Source organism: Homo sapiens, chromosome 21 (assembly GCF_000001405.40).
Source record: "Homo sapiens chromosome 21, GRCh38.p14 Primary Assembly".
Classification (NCBI taxonomy): domain Eukaryota; kingdom Metazoa; phylum Chordata; class Mammalia; order Primates; family Hominidae; genus Homo; species Homo sapiens.
In genome coordinates, this window is record NC_000021.9 from 43,175,303 (window position 1) to 43,198,207 (window position 22,905).

The 22,905-nt window shown below is 53.7% G+C and overlaps 2 long non-coding RNA genes across 2 annotated transcripts, besides 3 other annotated features; both read left to right on the plus strand.

Annotated features, from left to right (window-relative positions):
• Positions 531-1,068: an enhancer, noted in NCBI's record as "H3K4me1 hESC enhancer chr21:44595943-44596480 (GRCh37/hg19 assembly coordinates)". NCBI's record gives its function as "activates a minimal SCP1, AML or CMV promoter by ChIP-STARR-seq in naive H9 embryonic stem cells {active_cell/tissue: H9 hESC(naive)}" and the evidence as "EXISTENCE:reporter gene assay evidence [ECO:0000049][PMID:30033119]".
• Positions 916-9,767, plus strand: LOC105372821 (uncharacterized). Its single transcript, XR_001755074.3, has 3 exons — positions 916-1,989; positions 7,306-7,361; positions 7,502-9,767. It is a non-coding gene; the product is annotated as an uncharacterized LOC105372821 (long non-coding RNA).
• Positions 15,264-16,315, plus strand: LOC124905025 (uncharacterized). The gene is made up of 3 exons (XR_007067886.1): positions 15,264-15,300; positions 15,381-15,496; positions 16,223-16,315. It is a non-coding gene; the product is annotated as an uncharacterized LOC124905025 (long non-coding RNA).
• Positions 15,349-15,850: an enhancer, noted in NCBI's record as "H3K4me1 hESC enhancer chr21:44610761-44611262 (GRCh37/hg19 assembly coordinates)". NCBI's record gives its function as "activates a minimal SCP1, AML or CMV promoter by ChIP-STARR-seq in primed H9 embryonic stem cells {active_cell/tissue: H9 hESC(primed)}" and the evidence as "EXISTENCE:reporter gene assay evidence [ECO:0000049][PMID:30033119]".
• Positions 15,851-16,350: an enhancer, noted in NCBI's record as "H3K4me1 hESC enhancer chr21:44611263-44611762 (GRCh37/hg19 assembly coordinates)". NCBI's record gives its function as "activates a minimal SCP1, AML or CMV promoter by ChIP-STARR-seq in primed H9 embryonic stem cells {active_cell/tissue: H9 hESC(primed)}" and the evidence as "EXISTENCE:reporter gene assay evidence [ECO:0000049][PMID:30033119]".

A 22,905-nucleotide genomic window follows, 5' to 3' on the forward strand; every position in this document is an offset into this window, starting at 1 on the left:
CTCCCACCCTGAAGTCATCTCAACGGGCCCAGCCTCAGGAGCTGCCTGTGCTGGGGCCTGGGGCTGCTTTGCACCCAAGACCCCTTCAGAGTCACAGGTGAGTGGCCAGATTCCACCCCCACCATGCCCGCCCCGCCAGGGCAGGAGGCCACGTGGATGTGAGCTTTAATGCAGGGCGCAGCTCTGGCCATGGTGCCCAGCCACTTTCCTGGAGTCTGAGCAGCTGCCAAGGCTCTCTGGTGGCTGCTCCTACCCACATGGCTCCCATGGGCTGCTGTTGGAGAGCTTCTGAAGCCGGGAGGATGCCTGCTCCCCTTGCCTCCTTTCCAAGCTCGCCTCTGCCCACCCACTGCTAGGCCTGGGACTCACACCAGCCTTCTCCGTGGGTGCTGCTGCCAGCTTTCTGCCCTCTGGGCCTCCCTCTCCCTCGCCTGGCCTTCAGAGGGCCGAGGCTCTGATCACCTCTCCCCCGCTTCCCATTGTGTGGCCTGGCGTCTGAGGCCCCTGTGGTCTGACTGCCCCACTGCTCCCTGGTATGCATTCAGGTTGAATTCAGAGAGCTCTGCGTGCCAGTGTCCAGCCCCATTCACCAGGGCACACGGCCATCGTGGAAAGATGGGATTGGCCAGTACTTCCCAAGCCTGCCAGGCCGGGAGAACCACCTGCAGTGCATTGCAAATACAGACTCCTGGGCCCCGCTCACACCCACTTAGAGTCTGGAGGGGCAGAGTCCAGGGAGCTGGGCTTTTGGTGCCTCCAGGTGAGCCCTATGATCAGGTGCAAGTGGGAGATGCTGCGGGACAGCGGCGCCTCCTCAGGTTGGGGCAGCGGGGGAGAGAAGTCTCACTGGAAGCTGCCTTTCCAGTCTTGGGGCTCAGCTTCTCGATCTCCAGGGAGGCTCTCCCTCATCCCACTGCTGGGGACGCTGGACTCTGGAGTGAAAATGACCCACGCTCTCCTCTGCTCCCGTTTTCACCTTGGGCATCATTGTCATCATCATTATGAGCAGCAGCCGGAAAAGCATTAATGGAGCACCTGCTGTATGCCAGGCCTTGCGCCTGCTGCGCTTGTAACGGCAATTCTCATGCAGCCTGCACAGCAGCCTGTAGCCTGTTTCTATTGTTAGCTGAGGACACCCAGGCTTAGAAATGGAGTCACCTGCCTGGTGTCCCCAGCTGGTGAGGGCTTGGGCCAGGTGCACCCTGTCTGTTTGACCCCAAAGCCAGGGCTCAGCACCGCTGGGCAGATGATTACTGCAATGTCACACATAATGTGAAAATTGGGAGGCGCTGAGGAAGCCTGAGGCACTGGTCCCTTTCTTCTGGTGACATGCTGGGTGACTTTGGACAGATCTATCAACCCCTCTGAGTATTCGATGTCCGTCTTTGCCAGTCGGCTGAAGCTGGGAGACCGAGTGCCTGCGGGGAGCCTCCAGCCCCCAGTTCCTTTCAATCATCACCAGCGTGCCTCACACTTACCACCAGGTGGCAGCAGAGGACTTGCCTGGCCGCCGAGACCTTGGCCGCAGGAGACTTGCCGAACCTCAGCCTTAAAGGTCACCTTCACTCTTCAAGACAGTGGGAAGCGGCCGCAGCAAACATCCGCAGAGGGCCTGGCTCCGGGAGCCTCTGGACTGCGTGCTGCCAAGCTGTGGGAGACCCACCCTGACCCCCGGGGAGCTAGTGTCCAGCAGGGGAGACTGAGATGGGAAGACACAAAAGCCGTGCTGGAAGCCAGCGGTGTTTCTTTACCATGAGCAGTTTTGGGGTTTCATTTGCTTGTGTGTAAAATCACTTGAAAAAGGAGGCGTCACTGTCTGGAAGGCCAGGGCTGTGCTGGGGTCCCTGGGGGCTCTGGCGGGGTTTCCTCCGCGCAGAATGACGTCACTCCCCGGCTTCCGGCCCAGGTCAGCTCTTCCTAGGAAGCCTCTTGTGAAGAGCAGCCCCCGTCCCGCCCACATCCGCAGAGGCCTGTGAGTGGGGCAGGGCGGTAAGTGTCCCTGGCAGGCAGCCTCAGCTGACGCGGTGTTGGGGTCACAGGGTCAGAGGTCCTGCCAGCCAAGGCTGCATGTGGCTGTCTGAGAAGGGGCTGAGACAGAGATGCAGGCACAGGTGCCAGACAGTGCCAGCTTGGAAGGAGGAGGCATCAGGAGAGCCGAGGGGTTGAGGGACAAGGAGCTGCTTGCTGGGGGCAGGGCGGCCTTCTCTCTACAGGGCAGGCACCTGCCTCCCGCTCTGCCCTTGGCCTCCAGGATGGGAGCTGGGAAAGGAGTCTCCCTTCAGGGGAGGGACCCTTGGCAGGGGCTAGTGAAGGCTCCGTCAGCGTTAGCTCCCAGGCTGCTGGGGAGGCCAGAAGGCCCTGCTCTGTGGGATTTCCTCTGAGACCCTGGGCTAAGGACTGAGTTTGCAGGGGCAGGAAATGTGGGCGGGCTCCAAACCTGCTGTGCAGGCTGCTGCCATTAGAACAGAACAGAAGGAAAGATACACATGCATCCATGCACACACACACACAGTGTGCCCATATGCACAGAACACACATGCACATAGAAGCACAATGTTTGCACAGTGTGCACCCATGCACAACACACCATGCACACTCGTGCACAACACACAAAACACATGCTCACACACCTCACACATGTGCGCACAAATGCACAACACAAACACACATGCAACATACAAACACATGTACACACATCACACAATACATGTGGACACACACGGACACACAGAAGCACATAACACCTACGCGTGCACAAATGCCCACATGCACACCTACACAAACATACACTCACACAGCCCACAGGAAGACGCACACACCACTATCATGGCCATGGCCAAGCTCTGGGCTGTTACTTCATTGCGCGGCTGCCCTCTGTGTCTGATTTGTACTTGACCGTGAGAGACCCCTTTCCACCCTCCAGCTTAGGGGAGCCCCCTCCTGTGTGCTGCTCAGCAGCCTCTTTGACATCTAGCTGCCTGGGCCCTGGCATTCCTCGTGCCACCTGCAGAGACGTCAGAGACGGCACGAGGGAGGAGCGGGTATGAGGGAGGGGCCGTGTGGCAGCTCAAGGACGCCCCAGGGGCACCGGGAAGGAGGGGCAGTGAAGAGAGGGGGTGGCTCATTATTCTGCAGAGCTGTCTGCCCCGGGAGCCTGTGAGCGCTGTGCCTTTACCTTGGCCAGGAGTGAGAGAAATCAATTTCCAAAGCATCCTGGCTGGAAAATCTTGCTTTCCAGAGCAGTGTGGGTCTCCGAGCAGGGCTCCCGAAGGCCCTGACGCAGAATTGCAGATGGCTGGCTGTTGAGGGGACAGGGCGCCCCCTGGGGAAGACACGTCAGACCTAGAGGACTGGGGTGGGAAGGCAGGACACGCCAAATCCCATCTGCCGTTCGCAGGAACACTGAGACCCCACGATGACCCTGGCAGTGGCTCTCTGATGGTGATAAAAGGCAGCGGCTGCCCTTGGAGGAGCTGGTGGCTGACTTATTTCTGACAGCCGGTAATGGCCAAGTGCTGGGCCTTTGATTGTACGGGGCTGGGCTGCACTCCACACAGGAGCTGGCTCAGGGGTCCTGCTGGCAGCTGCAGTGCTCTTACCTGCTCGGTGATGAGAAACCCAATTAAGTAAGTGGCCTGCAGCCATGTGGCCTGTGCCAGGAGCCAAGCGGGGAGCCCCGGCTCTCCCCCTGAGCCCCCTTGCTCACTCTTCCTGCCTGCCCCTGCCTGTGGCTGTCGGAAAGGGTGTTTCTGCAATGAACCAGCTGGAATCCAGCAGTGCTGTGGGGAATTTCCCACGGCTGCTGTGACAAACGACCACAAGCTGGTTGGCTTAAAACAACAGAAATTCACTCTGAGGCACGAAGTCCGAAATCAAGGTATCTGCAGGGCCGTGTTCCCTCTGGAGGCTCTGGGGTGAATCTTCCTTACCTCCTCCAGCATTCCCGGTTGCTGGAAGCCTCTGAGCTCCAGTCTCTGCCTCCGCCTTCCCCTCCCGTCTGTGTCCTTTCCCCTTAAAGGACATCAGCCATTGGGTTTAGGGTCTGCTCTCATCCAGGACGATCTCACCTTGATGCTTCACTGAATTACATCTGCAAAGATTCTGTTTCCAAATAAGGTCACATGCCCAGGTTCTGGGGTTTGGAACTTAGACACATGTTTTGGGGGACACTGTTCCACCCATGACAAGTATGGATGACGTCCCTGAGATCCTGTGTCCTTGCATTTGGGGACGCTTCACATACGCCATTGTACACGTTCCTCTCAGGAACCTCTGAGGTTGGCGGGACTGTTTTTGATATTCATTGCGCATGTGTGTCCCCGTGGGTGTGTATGTGTGAGAATGTGTGAGTGTGGGTGTCCCTGTGAGTGGGGGTGAGTGTGAGTGTGTGCGTATGAGGTTCCACATACATATGTGAGTGTGTCCCTGTGAGTGAGTCCCCTGTGAATGGGTGTAAGTGAGCATGTGTGTGTGAGTCCCTGTGCATGGGTATGAGCATGTGTGTGTCCCTGTGTGAATGAATGTGTGTGAGTCCCTGTGTGTAACAGCATGTGTGTGTGTGTCCCTGTGTGTGAGTGAATGTGTATGTGTGCATGTGTGAGTGTGTTACGAGTATGGGTGTCCCTGTGAACGTGTGTGAGTGGGTATGAGTGTGAATGTCCCTGAGTGGTTGTGTGTGTGTGTGTCTGTCCCTGTGTATGTGTGTAAGTGTGTCTGTCCCTGTATGTGAGTGTGGGTATCCTTGTGAGAGTGTGTGATTGGTGTGAGTGTGGGTGTCCTCATTAGTGGTTTGTGTGTGTGTCCATCCCTGTGTATGTGTGTGTAAGTGCGGCTGTCCCTGTGTGTGTGTGTGTGGGTGTCCTCATGAGTGGTTGTGTGTGTGTGTGTGGGGGGGGTCTCTGGGTTTGTGTATGGGTGTGTGTGAGTGGGTGTGTGTGTGTCCTTGTGAGTGGTTGTGAGTGCGGGTGTCCCTGTGAGTGGTTTTGTGTGTGGGTGTGTGTATGACTCTGTGAGGGGGTTATGTGTGTGTGTGGGAGTGTGGCTGTCCCTGTGAGTGTGTGAGTGTGGGTGTCCCTGTGAGTGATTGTGTGTAGATGTGTGTGTATGAGTGTGGTGTCCCTGTGAGTGATTGTGTGTAGGTGTGTGTGTGAGTGTGGGTGTCCCTGTGAGTGATTATGTGTAGGTGTGTGTGTGTATGAGTGTGGGTGTCCCTGTGTGTGTAGGTGTATGTGTGTATGAGTGTGGTGTCCCTGTGAGTGGCTGTGTGTGTGAGTGTGTTTGTATGAGTGTGGGTGTCCCTGTGAGTGGCTGTGTGTGTGAGTGTGTGTGTATGAGTGTGGGTGTCCCTGTGAGTGATTGTGTGTAGGTGTGTGTGTGTATGAGTGTGGTGTCCCTGTGAGTGGCTGTGTGTAGATGTGTGTGTGTGTGTCCCTGTGAGTGGGCTGAGCCCAGGTACTTGGTTTCTGCAGGGAACTTACCCACGTTTGTGGGCCCCTGGTGGCAAATGTCCAGTGTCAGCCAGGGCAGGCCGTGGTTGGAACTGGATAGGAGACTTTGTATTTTGGGGCTGCCCATGGCGGGTCCCCGTCCTCATCAGAGGCATCCCAGGGGTGACCTTTCATCTGCTGGAGCTGCTGCCACTCCATGCTGTGACTCCTGATATGCATCCACTCCCGTGTTAGCCCAGGTCTGGACGTGCACAGTGGCCAGGGTGAGGGGTTCTGTCCAGAATACCCTCGGGGAAGGGGGTCTCAGGGACCATCTTCTTTGGCAGGTGGGCAGAGCAGTGGGAAGCCTGGGTTCTGGGTGGGGGCACGGCAGGCAGGCTCTTCTGGCAGCTGGGTGATGCCCGTGAGCGCTAAATGCAAGACGTGTGAACACAGGCGGCTCACAGATGCCAGTGCTGAGTGCGACTGTGCCTCCGCCTGGCCTCGAGGCATTTGCTGAACTTCCAGCTTACCCGGTTCTCCTCCTGTGCTGACTCCAGGGCCTCCTTGGGCCCTGCTAGGCGCGGGCTGCCGCCGAGGGGATGTGGGTGGGCTGGCAGCTGCTATCAAGGCTCTGCTGCTGGTCACAGCTGGGCAGTGGCCCCAGGGCCCCCAGACGGCTCAGCACATGTGTACCCTGGCCTTGTGGCCACTCAGGTGTCCCAGGCCTGAGCTCATGAAGGGCAGAGGGCATTCCCTGGCACCCTTGCAGTTCTTCAGGGGTCCTGAGTGCGTAGTGCCCATTAAGTGGCAATGTTGATGGGGACAACCAACACAGTCCACGAGCTTGCCCCTCTGTGTGTGGAATGGGCTTGCAGCATGGTTTGTGCCAGCCCCGACAGGCAGGGGCCCTTTAAATGAGTTCCCGCGCAGCCCACCGGGGCCTGGCTGATTGCTCAAGCTGCCTGCTGGAGCTGCACCTGCTCTAAATTGTGATCAGGCTAAATTAGATGGAAAAATATGCAAATGTAGTTGGAGCTTTTTGGCAAATTAGCACGCAAGCGGGTGGAGATGAGGCTCGCCGGCGAGGGGGAGCACCCATATCGTTTGACTAATTATTGAGGCAGTCAAATTAAGACAGTGGGCTCGCCACCAGGGTGGGTTTTAAAGGGGGAATTATTTCAGCTACGTTTTCTAGTTTTCTGAGGCTGCCTGAAAAAGAGAAGAAAAGATACTTCCCTGCCAGTTTCTCTGCTGAATAGGTGAAAGTCAGACAGCTTTTTCGTGCTGAGTCCACAGACGCTCCTCGGTCATCTTTGATGAACATAGACTGGAATATAGAAACCAAAAATATTTTGAGCTGGGAGGGAGGGTTGATTTGTCTAAACCTGCTGGAGGTGAGTGGTCAGGCCCTGAACCGGGTCATGCATGCTGAAGAAGCAATCGTTGGCCTCCATTTGTGTATGGCGCGTGCGTGGTGATGTCTTAACCACACCAATTCCACCTGGACGGGCTGCAGTTGTTACCAATTGTGAGTGACCATACCATAGGGATGAACCAGCAGAGAAGACCCAGTGGTCACATGAGGCCAGGCTGAGTGCAATGACCAAGACAAAGGCATGTCTAGGTTACCCAGTGGGAGCAGTGGAAGCGGCGCTTGTCATTTGGAGCGGGTCAGGAGCCATCCCATGCCACCGCGGCCTCTGTAGTCTCACGACTTCCTCTGCACGCCCGGGGCACTTCATTCACGGCATGGATGTGGCCCTCGTGTTGCTGATTCTCATAGTTTTTGGTGCATCCTTCTTCACTCCATCAGCCGCGAGGATTTTGTCTTCTGCCGTCTTGTGTTTTGACTTCCCCTTCTGCCCTTTCTCTCAAGGTCGCCGTTTGCACACAGCAGCATCTGGAGGGATGAGCTCGCCTGATTCCATGCAGGTGGGTTCCTGGGTGGGGCATTGGAGGCTATCTCTGAACGACTGGGTGGCAGGAAGGTACCCCTGGTGCATGGAGGCCTGGCTGAAGCATGGCCGGTCTCCCTGGGACAACGTCATTATCTGTTTGCCCTTTGATTTCAGAATCGAACTCAGCTCCGTGGTTCACACTTGTTTCCAGAGATGCCAACAAGCTGCTCTTCCCCGAGTCCCCGCAGGTGTGCACCTTTGGGAAGGTATCAGATAGTGACCTCCTGGGCTGGGCTGTGCCTGTGTGCACCTGTCACGAGCAGGGCTGTGGGGGTGGAGATGTTAACCATCTCACCAGAGGAGGGCTGGACTGGATCCAAGAAACTTTTTTCCCCCTGGGATGGAATTTGAAAGTGGAAAAAAAGTCACATAAAAATCAGTGTAGCTAATTAACAAGAATACATGGAACAGTCTCCGTCGTTTTCCAAGTCTGCTATGCTGCGGCACATAAGTAGAGGTTGAAACAACAATGGCAACAGCGGTGAGAAAGGATACGGGGCCTGCTGAGATCTGCATCCTGTCCTTAAGGGCCTGATGGTTTTGAATTGTCCTCCAAGGCCACTGCCGTGGTTGGAGAGGCCGACGTGTCATCAGCACAGCTAAAACAGACAACTCGGGAAATATGGGAACCTGGGGGAGACTGGAGCCCAAGTCGCTGCAAATCCTTGATGAGGAGACACAAGAAACCACTACTTCAAAGCTGGAGGCAGCTTCTGCACAGAACAGATTCATGTTTGCATTTGGGGATGACTGTCTGCTCACTCTGGGACGTCCATGGTTCTGCACATGTGTAGCCGGGGGACATGTTTCTGTTCTTGGAAGACCTGGAAGATTTATATTGTTTTATTTTTTTTTAATTCTTTTTGAGGCAGAGTCTCACTCTGTCGCCCAGGCTGGAGTACAGTGGTGCAATCTCAGCTCACTGCAACCTTCACCTCCCAGGTTCAAGCGATTCTCTTGTCTCAGACTCTTGAGTAGCTGGGACTACAGGTGCACGCCACCATGCCTGGCTGATGTTTTGTGTTTTTATTAGAGACAGGGATTCACCATATTGGTCAGGCCGGTTTCGAACTCTTGACCTCAGGTGATCCACCTGCCTCGGCCTCCCAAATTGCTGGGATTACAGGTGTGAGCCACTGCCCCTGGCTGGAAGCCTTTAGTGGTGTAAACTGTGGGTGGGTTTTAGCAGATCCGTGTCTCCGTGGGTTATGTTTTCTCCGTGTCTCCGTGGGTTATGTTTTCTTTACATCAGATATTTCTTTCCTCACTACCTGGAAGAGGTACCCGTTCTTTCCAAGCATGGGTTAATGAGAAGGAAGCAACAAAAGGCTGGGAGAGAACACATGGAGGGAAGCTGCCGTTGGTCTCGAAGCTGTGCCATGGCGGGTACCGTCTCCCCTCTGATGAATTTATAACCCCCTATGTGCTACCATTTCAGGTTAAACCAACTTGACCAAGGACTTCCAGTTTCTTGGAAAATGATAGTTTTGCTAACCTTCCTGCTGATTATAAACTCTGGACAAAATAGAAACAACCATTATTTGAAGGCATTGGAAAGTGACATAAAGCATGAAAAAAAAAAAAAACTCAAGCTAAAGAGGTATGACCCTTGCAAAAAAGGGAGCCATGCTTATCTGGGTTTTGTTCTCAGATCCTTCTTCAGACCGCCCCATATGGAATGGAGCTGAAGTGGAACAGTAGTTTTGTTGGGCTGAGAGGTCAGAGGCCAGAGTTCAAGGCTGCCAAAAAACAACAACAAAAAAAGGGAGCCACAGAGAGGGGAGCTCCTAAATCTAGCACAAATTTCCCTGAAACCCTTGGCTGATAACTAAAGTTTGCATGTGCAAGCCAAGACTCCAGAAAGCCCAGAAAGCAGGAACAGCTGGAGGCTGAGAGCTGGGCAGACATTTCAGCATCTGGCTAGTCCCGGAAAGACCAAGTTTGGAGTTCATGTGATAAGCACCTTGAGCTTTTCATCAGAAACCCTGGGATAGAGTAAGTTTTTCTATGTGCTGAAGTAAAGTCATTGTTAATTATATAGTCAGAAGACAGAAGGATACTATATTCAAACTGCTGAGAGAACAATCAGTCCCCTACATACCCAGCTAAACTATCACTCGAGAATGATAGCAAAATAAAGATGTTTCAGATACACAAAAACCAGAAGTTCACCAACAGCATACAAAAGATACATACCAAAGGACTTCTATTTGATGGCTTTTAAAGTGATCTAAAACATTGGTCAGGTGGGATTTAAAGATGACCAGGATTTTGTGCTATTCTGTAGAGATATTTAGACTTTAAGTTAGCAATGCCTGCTAAAATTTAAAAAGATACTTTTCAAAATAGATGGAATAAAGGAATTTTACAAAACTTTTAATCAATGCAAAGCAAGATAGGAGAGGAGAATAAAGGGATAGAATGAGGACAGACCTTGGGGAATGTGTGAATGCTGAATGCTGGCCTTTCTTGTTCTGTGTTCTTTTTGTTTGTTTGTTTGTGTTTTTGAGACAGAGTCTTGCTCTATCGCCCAAGCTGGAGTGCAGTGGTGTGATCTCAGCTCTTCTGCCTCTCAGGTTCAAGCAACTCTCCTGCCTCAGCCTCCTGAGTAGCTGGGATTGCAGGCATGTGCCACCATGCCTGGAGAATTCTGTGTTCTTAATGGGGGTCAAAGGGAAAGCTCACCTGGCTGTGGATGGGAATGTTTTGCAAATGTCCTTGAATATCTGCCCAACCAATCGTGCTCCAAAGAGGTATATTTGGGCAGGGAATGAAGACCTAGAGGCAGATGTTGGCTGTCTCTTGAGTAGTTGAAGCCTGGACTTGGAGTGGGAGAGCCATGCTCAGGGCTCTCTCACTGCTGTGGGTGAGGTCACTCCTGGGGCAGGAGGAGGCTGAGCCCCCATGGAAAGCAGGGGTTGCTCACATCAAGTTCCCTTCAAGGGCCCCAAACTTTCAGGGAGGCCTGGTGCCTGTTACATCCCTGGGAGGGATCTGAGGGAGGGCTCCATGCCCTGGGATGGGACAGAGAGGCAAGGCAAGGAGAAGGAGGCTGACCTCGAGAGGCTGAGATGCAACCTGCAAAAGAGGACAGCAGTGCCCAAGTCAGGTGGGTGGAGGGGCCACCACCCCAGGGGCACGCTGTGGGCTGAGCCAGCCTTTCCTAAGGGCCAGGGAGGGCATCTGTAAATGCACAGACCCAGATGTGTGAGATCTGAACACCAAAGGCAAGATGGTCTCGCATGCGAGGGTTGTCTGGAACATCTGGGAACTGGGATGTGGCCGAAACCATCGTTTGGTCCATGCTGTTCCGACGTGAGCTTCGTGATCATGTCCCCGGCCTCCTGTCTCCAGCTGTGGGGTAGCTGCGCTGCTTTGGGATTGAGTCTGTTCTGACTGTGGGTTCAGGGATGGGTGCTCCCTGCAGTCCGCACCTGGTGTTTCCCTAGATGGAGGCCGACTCAGGTTGGGCGATCTGTCCCGACCGCCGAGCTGCAGGAACAGTGAGTGCAGCTCTGGGAAGAGGCTTCCCCTCCCACAGAGAGCGTGGGCAAGGTGACCTTTCTCCCTCCTGGTCTGACATGGTCATGCACAGACCTGGGCTGTGGCAGCCTCCAGGCAAAGCCCATGCAGGGAAGATGGCAGAGCTGGGGAAACCCCTGAGAAAGGGAACCACGTCCAACCATCTCTGGATTTTTCTGGTTTTGCAAAAGCCAGTTGGGGTTGGTCTTTCTGTAACCCACAGCTGAATGTGTCTCACTTGGTCCTGGTGGGACTCCCGTCCACCAGAGTGACATAACCGGTTGCAGGTCACCCAACAGCAGGTGCTTGTGATGGCTTACCCTCAGGTTGGCTGAGGGCCTGGCCCTGTATAGTCCAGGGATTCTGATAGAATGATTGCATTGGATCAGCCACGTGGCGGCAGGTGATTCCCTGCTCAGCATCCGAACCCTCTGCTACCCCCGCAGGGTCCTGCGGCCCCACTCACAGGTGCCCTGTGAGGAGGAGGTGGAGCGAGAGGAGAGGGGACTGGGCCCGACACTCACTGATCTTGAATGCGGCCCATGGGCCAGGTGTGGAGGAGCAGGAGGCAGGTGTCATTGTCACCCTTCCACACTCAGCAGATGGACTCCAGAGGCTGAGGCCCCTGGGCCAGTGGCAGGGTGGAATTCAGCAGAGGCTTCTGTTTCCAAAGCAGGAGCCAACCGTTCTTTCAAGACTGGGTCTGCCCCAGGCCTCCATACCCTGCTGGTCATTACGCAGCCACTCTAGCAATTAGACACCTGGGAATCAGGTACCCAGGACTGTTTTCTGTAAAGCCCTATTAAAATATTCATGAGCTCCATGAATTCTCCCCGTGCTGGGGGCTCTTTTCTTGTGGCCTCGGGTGCAGCTGGTGCTGGCTCTGTGCAGGTCTCTGGTTTTATTGACTGGGTTGGTCCTTGGCCTCATCCTTCCGTGGCTCCATTTTCCTGCCCGCCCATCCCCTGGCCACCGCTCTGAGGGCTGCCGTGGGTCCTGCTGTTATGGGTCTTGTGCCACGTGCACCATAGCTAGCTGAGCAGTTGAAGCCCCATGGATGGTGTTGGGCCCAGGGCTTGGCTCCACAGGACACTCAGGCCAGCCCTGGGGTCTGCTGGGGCTGCTGCCCAGGATTCCTGGCAGTGCCGATGCGGTCAGTGCCTGGGAACCTTTACTGCAAGACAGTGTGCAGATACAGTGCAGGTCTCCTAGGGAGTCCAGACAGGCCTGAGGCGGCAGCTGGAGGCTCCTCAGCAGGGACTGGGCCCTGAGTCACAGGCTCATGTGCTCGGCTCGGAGCAGGAGTCAAGAGGTTTCCGCCTCTGCTTAGCCCCTGACTCACTGAGGCCTCCCTGGACCTCGGTTTCTTCTTCTGTGACATAATGGACTGGGGTGGGTTTGGAGGATCAAGGACACCTCTGAAAATATGATCAGAAGACATGGACTCATTTCTAGGCACACACACATGAACATACAACACAAGCATGCATACACAGTGCACACATGCATGCCTATGGGCATACATACATGAACACACACACGCACATGTACAACACACGCACACAGTGCACACACATGAGCACACACACGAACACATACACACATGTACATACAGTGCACACACGAGCACACATTCATGAGCAATAGACACATGCACACAACAGACATGCACACAGTGCACACATGCATGCACATGAGCACACACAGATACATACATGAATGCACATACATGCATACATGTGCTCACATGCAATGCACACACACATGTGTACACACAGGCACATTCACATACACTCAGGGAGTGTGTGGGCTGGGGCAAGCTTGTGCATAGATCCCAGGATCAAAACCTTGAGATCTTTTCCCAGCTGTGCTCACATCCCATGGGTGGCTCATGAAATTAATTCAGTGGGTCTCCACCAGCATCTTTAAAGAAGGAATAGAATAGAGTAGAGTGGAAGTATACATTGGTTCACAACCTTTACTTCAGTGCTACACACACAGGCACACACATGCGATACACACTGGATCATGGTGGAAAATTTATTTCCTACTGTGGCCCTTGGTCATTGAGTCTGAAAACACAGAGCCAGGACATCCCCTGATGGGGTGGCCGGCTGGGCACCCTCACTCCTCGCCACCCTCAGACCTAAGCAGTGGCCTGTGGGGTGGCTCTCGCCACAACTTGAGGTGGGAAACCCAACACATAGGAAAGTTACTTTCTTTTTGTTTGAGACAGAGCCTTGCTCTGTCACCCAGGCTGGAGAGCAGTGGCGTGATTTCGGCTCACTGCAACCTCCACCTCCCGGGTTCAATCTATTCTCCTGTCTCAGCCCCCCGAGTAGCTGGGACTACAGGGGCCTGCCACCATGCCCAGCTAACTTTTTGTATTTTTAATAGAGATGGGGTTTCGCCATATTGGTCAGGCTGGTCTCGAACTCCTGACCTCAGGTGATCTGCTCGCCTCAGCCTCCCAAAGTGCTGGGATTACAGGTGTGAGGAACGTTACTTTCATTTCCTGATGTTTGAGGTGTGGTCTCTTCTGGTTCCTTTTTTATTTGATTTGATTTTCTAATTCATCTACTTGAGGGCTGAGAACGTCTCTTCTCTTCCTCTTCCTCTTCCCCCGCCCCCACCACCCTTCTTAACTCCTCTTCTCTCTTTTCTGTGTGCAGAGACATTAGGCTGATGCTCTCCCGGCCCCCTTGGTAATTGTACCAGTTGGCAGCCTTGCCTCTGCGTCCCTGTGGGAAGCTTGGCTCGGCCGGGAGCTCTTTGGCGTGGCAGAGCTCCCTCCCGGCCCCCACCGGGTCTGGGAGGATCTTGCATTTTACAGAGTGCCCATGCCAACCTCCCTTGGCAAGCTCGTGGTGTTTCTCTGCATTTGCCAAGAAATGGAGCAAAACCCAACTCAGTTTGCTGGGCTCTTCGGGGATACAGGAAAGAAAAAAGAATGGCTCCACACCCTTTCCCTGAACTTTCTGTACTCATTATTTTCTTCTGTCTGTCTATTTTTTGCTCTAAAATCACAGGGCTTTCGTTATTTGATGTCTTTCGTGTATAAATACACGTTGTCCCCAGACTACTGTTTTTTCAAACGCTTTTGTGATTTAAAACAATTTTATTTTTATTGTAAAATATATGCTACATACAGTAGAGTACATACAATACAGATATACATTTTAAAGAATGGTTAGCCTGCTGAGTGCAGTGGCTCACGCCCATAATCCCAGCACTTTGGGAGGCTGAGGCAGGAGGATCACTTGAACTCAAGAGTTCGAGACCAGCCTGGGCAACATGGCAAAACCCCGTCTCTACAAAAAATACAAAAATTAGCCAGGCATGGTGGTGCATGCCTGTGGTCCTAACTATTTGGGAGGCTGAGGTGGAAGGATTGCTTGAGCCCAGGAGGCAGAGGCTGTGAGCTGTGATCGTCCCACTGTACTCCAGCCTGGGCGACAAAGTGAGACCCTATCTATCTCAAAAAAAAAAAAAAGGGGAACTTCTTCCCAGATTAAGAAATAGAACCTTAACCAGAACCTTAGAAGTGGCCTGTGCACCCTTTGGGATCGCATCTCATTCGTTCATTCATTCATTCGTTCATGCATGCAGCAAGTCTTTATTGAGTCCCTGCTATGTGCTAGGCTTTGTGCTAAGCATTTGGGATATAGCCGCAGACGAAACAGATCAAAACCCCTGGCTGTGTGGCTCTGCATCTTACCCTGCAGGTAAGAGACATTTTGACTTTTTGTGATGTTCATTCCTTTGCTTTGTCTTAGGGTTTCCATGTGGGTGGGAATGCATCCCTAAACAACATCATGCTTCCTTTTGTGGTTTTGGAACTTGAGGTAAACAAGGTGATACTGCGTGGACCCGGATGGGATTGCTTCTCTCCCTTGGTCTTGTCTTGCATGTGAGATTCACCCCACAGCTGTGCGTGGCCATGGGCCATTTGTTTTCATGCGTCTATATAGTGTTCCACTGTTTATCGACTTATCCATTCTGTTGCTGGTGAACATCAGGGTTGCTTCTGATTTTTGGCTATTGCAGAAAATGCTGCTGCAAGTGTTATTACACAAGTCTCTGTGGGTCCTAGGGGTGGAATCGCTGTGTCATGGGGTGTACCTGTGCTCAGCTCTACCAGATCGTGGCAAATGGTTTTCCCACATGGAGCTCTGATTGCAGTCTGCCTGAGTTACTGTCTACTAATTTGCATTTCCCTGATTATTGATAAGGCTACGCATCTTTTCTTTTTTCTCTTTTGTAGAGTTGGAATCTTGCTATGTTGCCCAGGCTAGTCTTGATCTCCTTGCTTCAACTGATCCTCCTGGCTTGGTCTCCCAAAGTGCTGGGATTACAGGCATGAACCACCACACCTGATCATCTTTTCGTGAGTTAGTATCTTTTTGTATTTCTTCTTTTATGAAGTGTTTTGCCCGTGACTTTCATATTTTGGCTTTTTTTTTTTTTGCAGGCATTTTTTATATCGATGGTTCTCTGCTGGGATGACTTTGCCTCCAAGCCCCTGCTGGCGGGGCTCTCAGACTGCAGCCCCTGTGAATACTCACATGCCCAGCAATTGTCCCTTAGGTGCAGATGCCATGTGAGCCCCAGCCCTTGCCTGTGGACGTCCATGTCGTGCTGTTAACCCTGGTCATCCACAGTCTGAACCCTCCTCTGGTCCCTTCCTGATACAGGAAGTGCACTGGGCTCTTAGCCACAACTGCAGAAAGTGGGGCTGGGGTTCATTGCTTGTTTCTGGGGTCACTGCCACTGTCAGTATCATCCCCCTACCCTGCAACAGCTCAGCCTGCTTGGGTCTAGGAGCTGCAGCGCTTTCTATCCCTTCCTCAAGACAGTGAGTGCCCACCTAGGCCACACTACCCAGGAGCCAGTGCTGCCGCCACCTCGACCCACCGTGCCCACCTCCTGGAAGAGGGCTGGCGGCATCTTGGACTAAAGGTCACGTTGGCTTCCTGGGAATGCTGGCACACCTGTGGGCTGCCAAGGCCACTCCCAAGGGGCTGTGAGTTTTGACTGTGCTGGCACACACACCCCTCACGTGCACACAGTGGGTGCCCCAGAAAACATGACAGTGGCACTCCTGTCACTACCCAGACCCCAGGGCAGGGTGCACAAAGCCTTGATTTAGAGATGCCACCTGGAAAGCCACAGCCCCAATCCATTCCTGTCAATCCAAACCTATTGGAAATAAGACATGGGACTCAGCACTTAGCAGCATCCTCATCAGACCTTCTGGTAAATGGAAGGATTTTTCTTTAACACATGGGTTTTCTGATGTCATTTTGCTTACAGTGGACTGATCAGGGCCACTGAAGGATGAGAGAGAGAATACATGGCAGGAACAACGATTTCAACTCCAAGGAGAGGTGTGATGTGTGAAGGGGACAGGGGCAGAAGGAACAGGGTGTCAGGTGGGAGGGAGGGGTGTGGCCAGCACGGGGAGAGGAAGGGGAGGACTGCCAGTGCCTGGAGGGAGGCGACCCATTTCCATTAGAGGGGACCTCCCCTACCTCCTGGGCTCGATCCCATAATTAGCAGCAAAGGCAGCTGGCCAGGGCACGGTGCGCCGTACGGGTTTGAAATGGCAGCAGTGCCTCAAGCATTCTTCTCCGCACCTTTAGTCATTAGCTATTTGTTTCCTCCCCACAACAATTAGTGCTAATGTGACATGTGCTCATTTTTGTACGGGATAAAACTGCCATCCAGTGCGATTTGGTACAAATGAGTCAAACAAGACAGGCTCACCCTGAGCCTCCTCTTTTCTTTCTCCTGCTGGAGACCTCTCTCACCAGACACTCAGGTGTACCAGTACAGCAGCTTTGGACCTAAGTGGACTCCAGCAGCTCCATTAACCCAGAGCTTGCACCAACCCAGAATTTCCACCAAGCCAGAGTTTCCACCAAGCCAGGGCTTCCACCAATCTAGAACTTGCAACAATCCAGAGCTTCCGCCAACCCAGAGCTTCCGTCAATCCAGAGCTTCCACCAACCCAGAGCTTCCACCAACCCAGAGCTTCCGCCAACCCAGAGCTTCCACCAACCCAGAGCTTCCTCCAATCCAGAGCTTGCATCAACCCAGAGCTTCCGCCAACCCAGAGCTTCCGCCAATCCAGAGCTTCCGCCAACCCAGAGCTTCCGCCAATCCAGAGCTTCCGCCAACCCAGAGCTTCCGCCAATCCAGAGCTTCCATCCAGAGCTTCTGCCAACCCAGAGCTTCCACCAATCCGATCTTCTGCCAGCCCAGAACTTCCGCCAACCCAGAGCTTCTGCCAACCCAGAGCTTCCACCAATCCAGATCTTCTGCTAGCCCAGAGCTTCTGCCAACCCAGAGCTTCCGCCAGCCCCAAGCTTCTGCCAACCCAGAGCGTGCACCAACCCAGAGCTTCCACCAACCCAGGGCTTCTGCCAATCTAGAGCTTCTGCCAACCCAGAGCTTCTGCCCAGAGCTTCCGTCAAACCAGAGCTTCCACCAACCCAGAGCTTTTGCCAACCCAGAGCTTCTGCCCAGAGCTTCTGCCAGCCCAGAGCTTCCATCAACCCAGAGCTCGCACCAACCTATAGCTTCTGCCAACCTACAGCTTCCACCAACCCAGAGCTTCCATCAACCCAGAGCTTGCACCAACCCAGAGCTTCTGCCAATGCAAAGCTTCCACCAAGCTAGAGCTTCCACCAACCACGAGCTTCCACCAACCACGAGCTTCCACCAACCCACAGCTTGCAGCTCAGTCTCCAGAAAGGGGGGAGCTGCTCTGTGGGTGGCATTCGTTCCAGGTGCGACCCTGAGGGGATGGCCAGGCTGGGGGCTGTGCTTACTTTCCAGAGGGCAAGAGGAGACAAACCAGGGCCTGGGGCTATACACACATGCACGCGTGTGCGCACACACACACACAGAGGACACATCACACACACCCAGACACACACACACACACGCACTGCACACATCACACACCCAGACACACACACACACGCACTGCACACATTACACACCCAGAGACACACACACACACAGGACACATCACACACACCCAGACACACACACACTCTGCAAACATCACACACACTGCACACATCACACACCCAGACACACACACACACGCACTGCACACATCACACACCCAGACACACACACACACGCACTGCACACATCACACACCCAGACACACACACACACACGCACTGCACACACACACCCAGACACACACACACGCACTGCACACATCACACACCCAGACACACACACACACTGCACACATCACACAGATACCACACACACTGCACACACCTCATGACACACACACACTCACACAATGCCTTCTCCATGGCCAGGGGACCTGGGGCCTATGCCTGTGCCCGTGCCCCTCTGTCTGGGGGCCTGCCTGTAGGATGGTGGCCTCCTGAGGCTGGGCTGCATGGCAGCGTGTGGGGCCAGGTGTCTGAGCTCCATCCTCCTGGCCGCCACCACCACGCTGCTGGTGAGCTGGGGCGGCCAGAACTCAGCACCATGGTCCGGGCGTTCAGCAGCAACTTGGATTCCTCATTGCTCTGCGGCTGGGCATCCCACAGCCGGGACGGGGGCTTGGGCCTGGCGAGGCCCCTCCTGGTTCCCACAGGGTCCTCAGAGCAGGGGCTGGCTCTGCTGTCCCTTCCTCACCTTAGGAGGGCACCCACCCTGCGGGCTCAGGACCACTGCACGATTGGGTCTTACCCTAGCGCTTCTCCACAGCTCCCTCTCCAGACACAGCTCCCTGGGGAGGAAGGGCTGCCAGCAGGGTTCTGGTGACACAGCCACCTGCCCTGCAGCTGTGGCCTCTAGGCCCTGCTCTGCACCCCTCTGGCTGCTTCCTGGTGTGGATCCTGGGGCCTCTGGGCTTCCCCAGATGTCTCAGAATCGAATCAGCTTCCCTCCCTCCCAGTAGCAAACCTCAGAATGATTCAGCCCCAGGAACCTCCGGACGCTGCTGTTGCCTGGGCCCATCCATCCCCGCCAACAACCCTGCCAAGCCTGCTCCCTCCTTTCCCCTCCCATGAGAGGAGCCGTCCCCGCCTGGCCTTCCGGAAGCTTGTGGGCCTCTTGGATGGAGCATCCTGCCTCTCAGTGTTCTTTCCGATAAAGCCCCCTCGCCTATATGCTGATTTGTTTCATTTGACACCCATCAAAGGGCATCTGGGTCCCCTACCCAGGGCTGTCAAAGTTGACCCTTCTCTGGAACTGGCTGATTTGATCACCTGGGCCACCTGAAGGAGTGGGGGGACTGATGTGTGCCCCGTGCATTTAGAAGCAAGGAGGAGGGGACGGGAACTGCTGTTTCCTAGAATGGTTCTGTGATGCTGGTCTGCCTGCTGCAGTGGGGAAAGAGGACGTTCTTGCGGACCTTGACCTCCATGCCGGCAGCCGGACCCCGGAGGTGAGAGTGACTCTGCTGCACCCTGGACGCACCTCCCCCCTCCTCATTTCTCAGGCCTCCTCCACCCTTTGTGCTGTGGGGAGGGAAATAACTAGAGACATCGTCACATTGCATGTGACGGGAAGGTGACATTCTGGTCTCAGAGCCTGAGGCTGATGGCCTGTGGGGAAATTTCAGGGGAGCACAGAGAGGAAGAAAGGAGAACGGAAACCCGTCCAGGGGCCCCAGCCGGCCCTTTGCAAACAGAGGCAGGGTCAGGCGAAACCGAGGGCCAGGTCGCAGATGAAGGCTGGAGTCTGAGGTCTGGGGCCTGGGATCAGCCTGTTTTAGCTGCTGCTCGGGTGCTTTCTGCGGAGGGGGCTCATCACACTCTCCACCCATGGGTGCATTCGCATGTGGGGCACTGCTCGTGGCTGAGACCAGGGTTTGGCTCCAGTGACTATTTGTAGGTGGCCTTTCCTCTGTGTCTGATCCCCAGCTCGTGGCTGCTGTGCCTTAGTGGTGTTCCATTCCTTCCTCACGGCAGCAGCCCTCTGGTCTCAGCGGAGAGCAGGGGACATGTCCCCCCAGGACGGGCTCCTGCTTGCTCCCGAGGGGCGCCTTGGCAGGGCGGACATTGGAAGCTGAATGCGGAGGAAGCATCCGGAAGCGGCGCTCTTGGCCTCAGCCCTCCTGTCCTGGGGTGAGTCAGGATCTCTGCTGGGGAGGGCTCTGGGGAGACAGCTCTGGAATCCTCTCTGCTGGGTTCATGCAGGGCCAAGCCTGGGTTTGACCTTCATGCATGAAGGAAGGAAAGCGGGTGGAACAGCTGCGGACGTGGAGGCAGTGGCGACAACGGACTTGACTTTAACTGGAAGCTCAGGAATACTGTGGTCGTGCTGTCAAATCTCTGTTATCTCCGAAGGGGCAGCGGGGAGGTTCCCTTGTGTCAGGACAGACGGGAGGTGTGCGGGGGAGGCCGGGGGAGGCGGGTGTCTGGACTGGGGTCTGAGCAGCGCTTCAGGGAGGAGGGGGCCTAGCAGGGCAGGAAATGGCCAGATGTTGTTCTGCAGCCCCGTGGATAGGGGTCCTGGGGACAGGAGAAGCCCTTGACAGTGTCAAATAGAAAACAAATCTGGACGTAAGTCACGGGGGAATGTATTAGAAAGGATATTGCGAGAAAGCGTGGGGCCCATTGCACCAGGGAGGGCATGCCCACTTTCAGAGCGGGGAGTGCCTGAGGGTTGGGGAAGAGTGAACAGAGGGAGAGAGACTGAGCGGTGGGAGGTGGGGAAGGAAGGGGCGGGAAGGGGCCATGAGGAGAGAAGATCTGATCTGAGGCCCTCCTTTTCACAGAGGGGTTGGCTGTGGGACGAAGCCCCTTCCTAGCTCCTGGCTATCTCTTTAGGTGTCTTTTGAGTTTCACTTGTCACTGTGAAATGTCTCGTTCGTTTGGTGTTTACTAGTTCATTTCCTTTTAAACAAAGGAATTTTTCCCTCGCAGGATGCTCTACAAGTCACCAGCAGGCATGTGGAGTCACTGTTGGAGTCAGGCATCCACTCCAGTGAACTGGAGGAGAAGGGCTAGGGTCGAGGAGTATAAAACATGGTAGCCAAAGGCCTGGCTACTTGGCAGCGTTTGTGGGCATCTTTCCCTAGGGAGGGCTGTGGGCACAGGCAAATGTCTAACACAATTATCTTTTTCTTCTTCTTTCTTTTTTTTTTTGAGACAGAGTCTTGCTTAGTCGCCAAGGCTGGAGTGCAGTGGTGCTATCTTGGCTCACTGCAACCTCTGCCTCCTGGGTTGAAGCAATTCTCCCACCTCAGCCTCCCGAGTAGCAGGGATTACAGGTGTGTGCTACCACGCCCGGCTAATATTTGTATTTATGGTACAGATGGAGTTTTGCCATATTGCGCAGGCTGGTCTCAAACTCCTGGACTCAAGCGATCCTCCTGCTTCAGCTTCCCAAAGTGCTGGGATTACAGACGTGAGCCATGGTGCACGGCCTGCAGCTGTCTTTAGGTCTAATCAAATGTTCCTGAAATTTGACTTTACAAAGATCTGCTAATTCAGAAGAAAGCGCTTTACTCCCAGAACTGTGAAGCCCTGCAATGGACAGACCCAGGTTACTCTACTCAACTGTGGCTTTTCCAGGAACCGCATCCATGGGAAATCCCAACTTCATCCCACTTTAGGGAGAGCCACACATTTGTACATTCTGCATTTTACTTTTTGTATTTTTGAAAGAAGGAGCAAATACGGTCACATAAAGTAACAAAACAACGATTGTTAGAAGGGCTTTGCATGAATCCCTTATTGTTCTGCTCTGCAACCTGACTTGGCCTCTATTCCTGGATGGCCACACCCAGATTTGTTCCCTCTTCGTCAAGCCAAGCCCAGGGGCTCTTGTATATCCCTGTCAGCCTCCCAGGATCCGGCACTGGCAGGCGCTTAGCACGTATCTGTCACAGGTGGTTTAATTATCTGTTTGGACCTTCTCAAGTTACAATTCTAAGGAGTCCCAAGGAAGTAAAGTGATTTTAAAAACACAGAAAACAGTTTTCAGAATTTCTGCAGCCAGCCATGAAGGAGTAGCTAGGATGGAACTTATGCTGTCTGTTTCTGTTTTTGTTTTTTGCCAAAAGAACTAGAAAGCTGGACAAAGCAGACAAAACAACTGGCTTTGGACATCAGGACAAAAGGCTGTGCAGGGCTGGCATCCCTAAGAGATAGGAAAAAAATGAAGTAAGTTGTGCAATCAACTCTGTTTTCTGGCTGGAGGCAGTTTTCATACTGTCAGGCAGGGAGGGGGAATCCAAGCACAACATGGTGATCTAGCTGAATTGAGAAGAGTGGGCTATGGGGAGGCAGAGGTGAGACAGGGTAGCAGAGAGGAGGAAGATACTCAAATAAAGAAACTCAAATACCTGCATAAGGTCCCTTTGAGCATTCACTTAATACCAATCTGTACATGCGTAGGTGGAATTCCAGGAAGTGAATAAAGAACAGTGAGGTGTTAAGCTGAACAATTCCTAGAACTCACACCAGGCTGCAAGAAATTTGAACTCCTTCTATTCAGTTGGAGACCTCATAGAGCACTTGGGGCAATCAATAGACAATACACGGCTCACGCCTGTAATCCCAGCACTTTGGGAGGCTGAGATGGGCGGATCACCCGATGTCAGGAGTTCGAGACCAGCGTGACCAACATGGAGAAACACCGTCTCTACTAAAGATACAAAAAATTAGCTGGGCGTAGTGGCGCATGCCTGTAATCCCAGCTCCTCGGGAGACTGAGGCAGCAGAATCACTTGAACCTGGGAAGCGGAGGTTGCAGTGAGGTGAGATCGCGCCACTGCACTCCAGCCTGGGCAACAAGAGTGAAACTCCGTCTCAAAAAAAAAAAGAAAAAAAAATAGAGAATACAAAGGATCAAGCTTTAGTAGTAGGAATAAATTAACTCTAGAGTATAGGCAACTCTAGATAACCCCAAAAAAATGTAAAAGCAAGCCTCAAAAAGATCAACCTCATCTGCAAGTAACTTTATTACTTGCCAGAACAAATGTCAACACTATTTATAAAGGAAAAAAA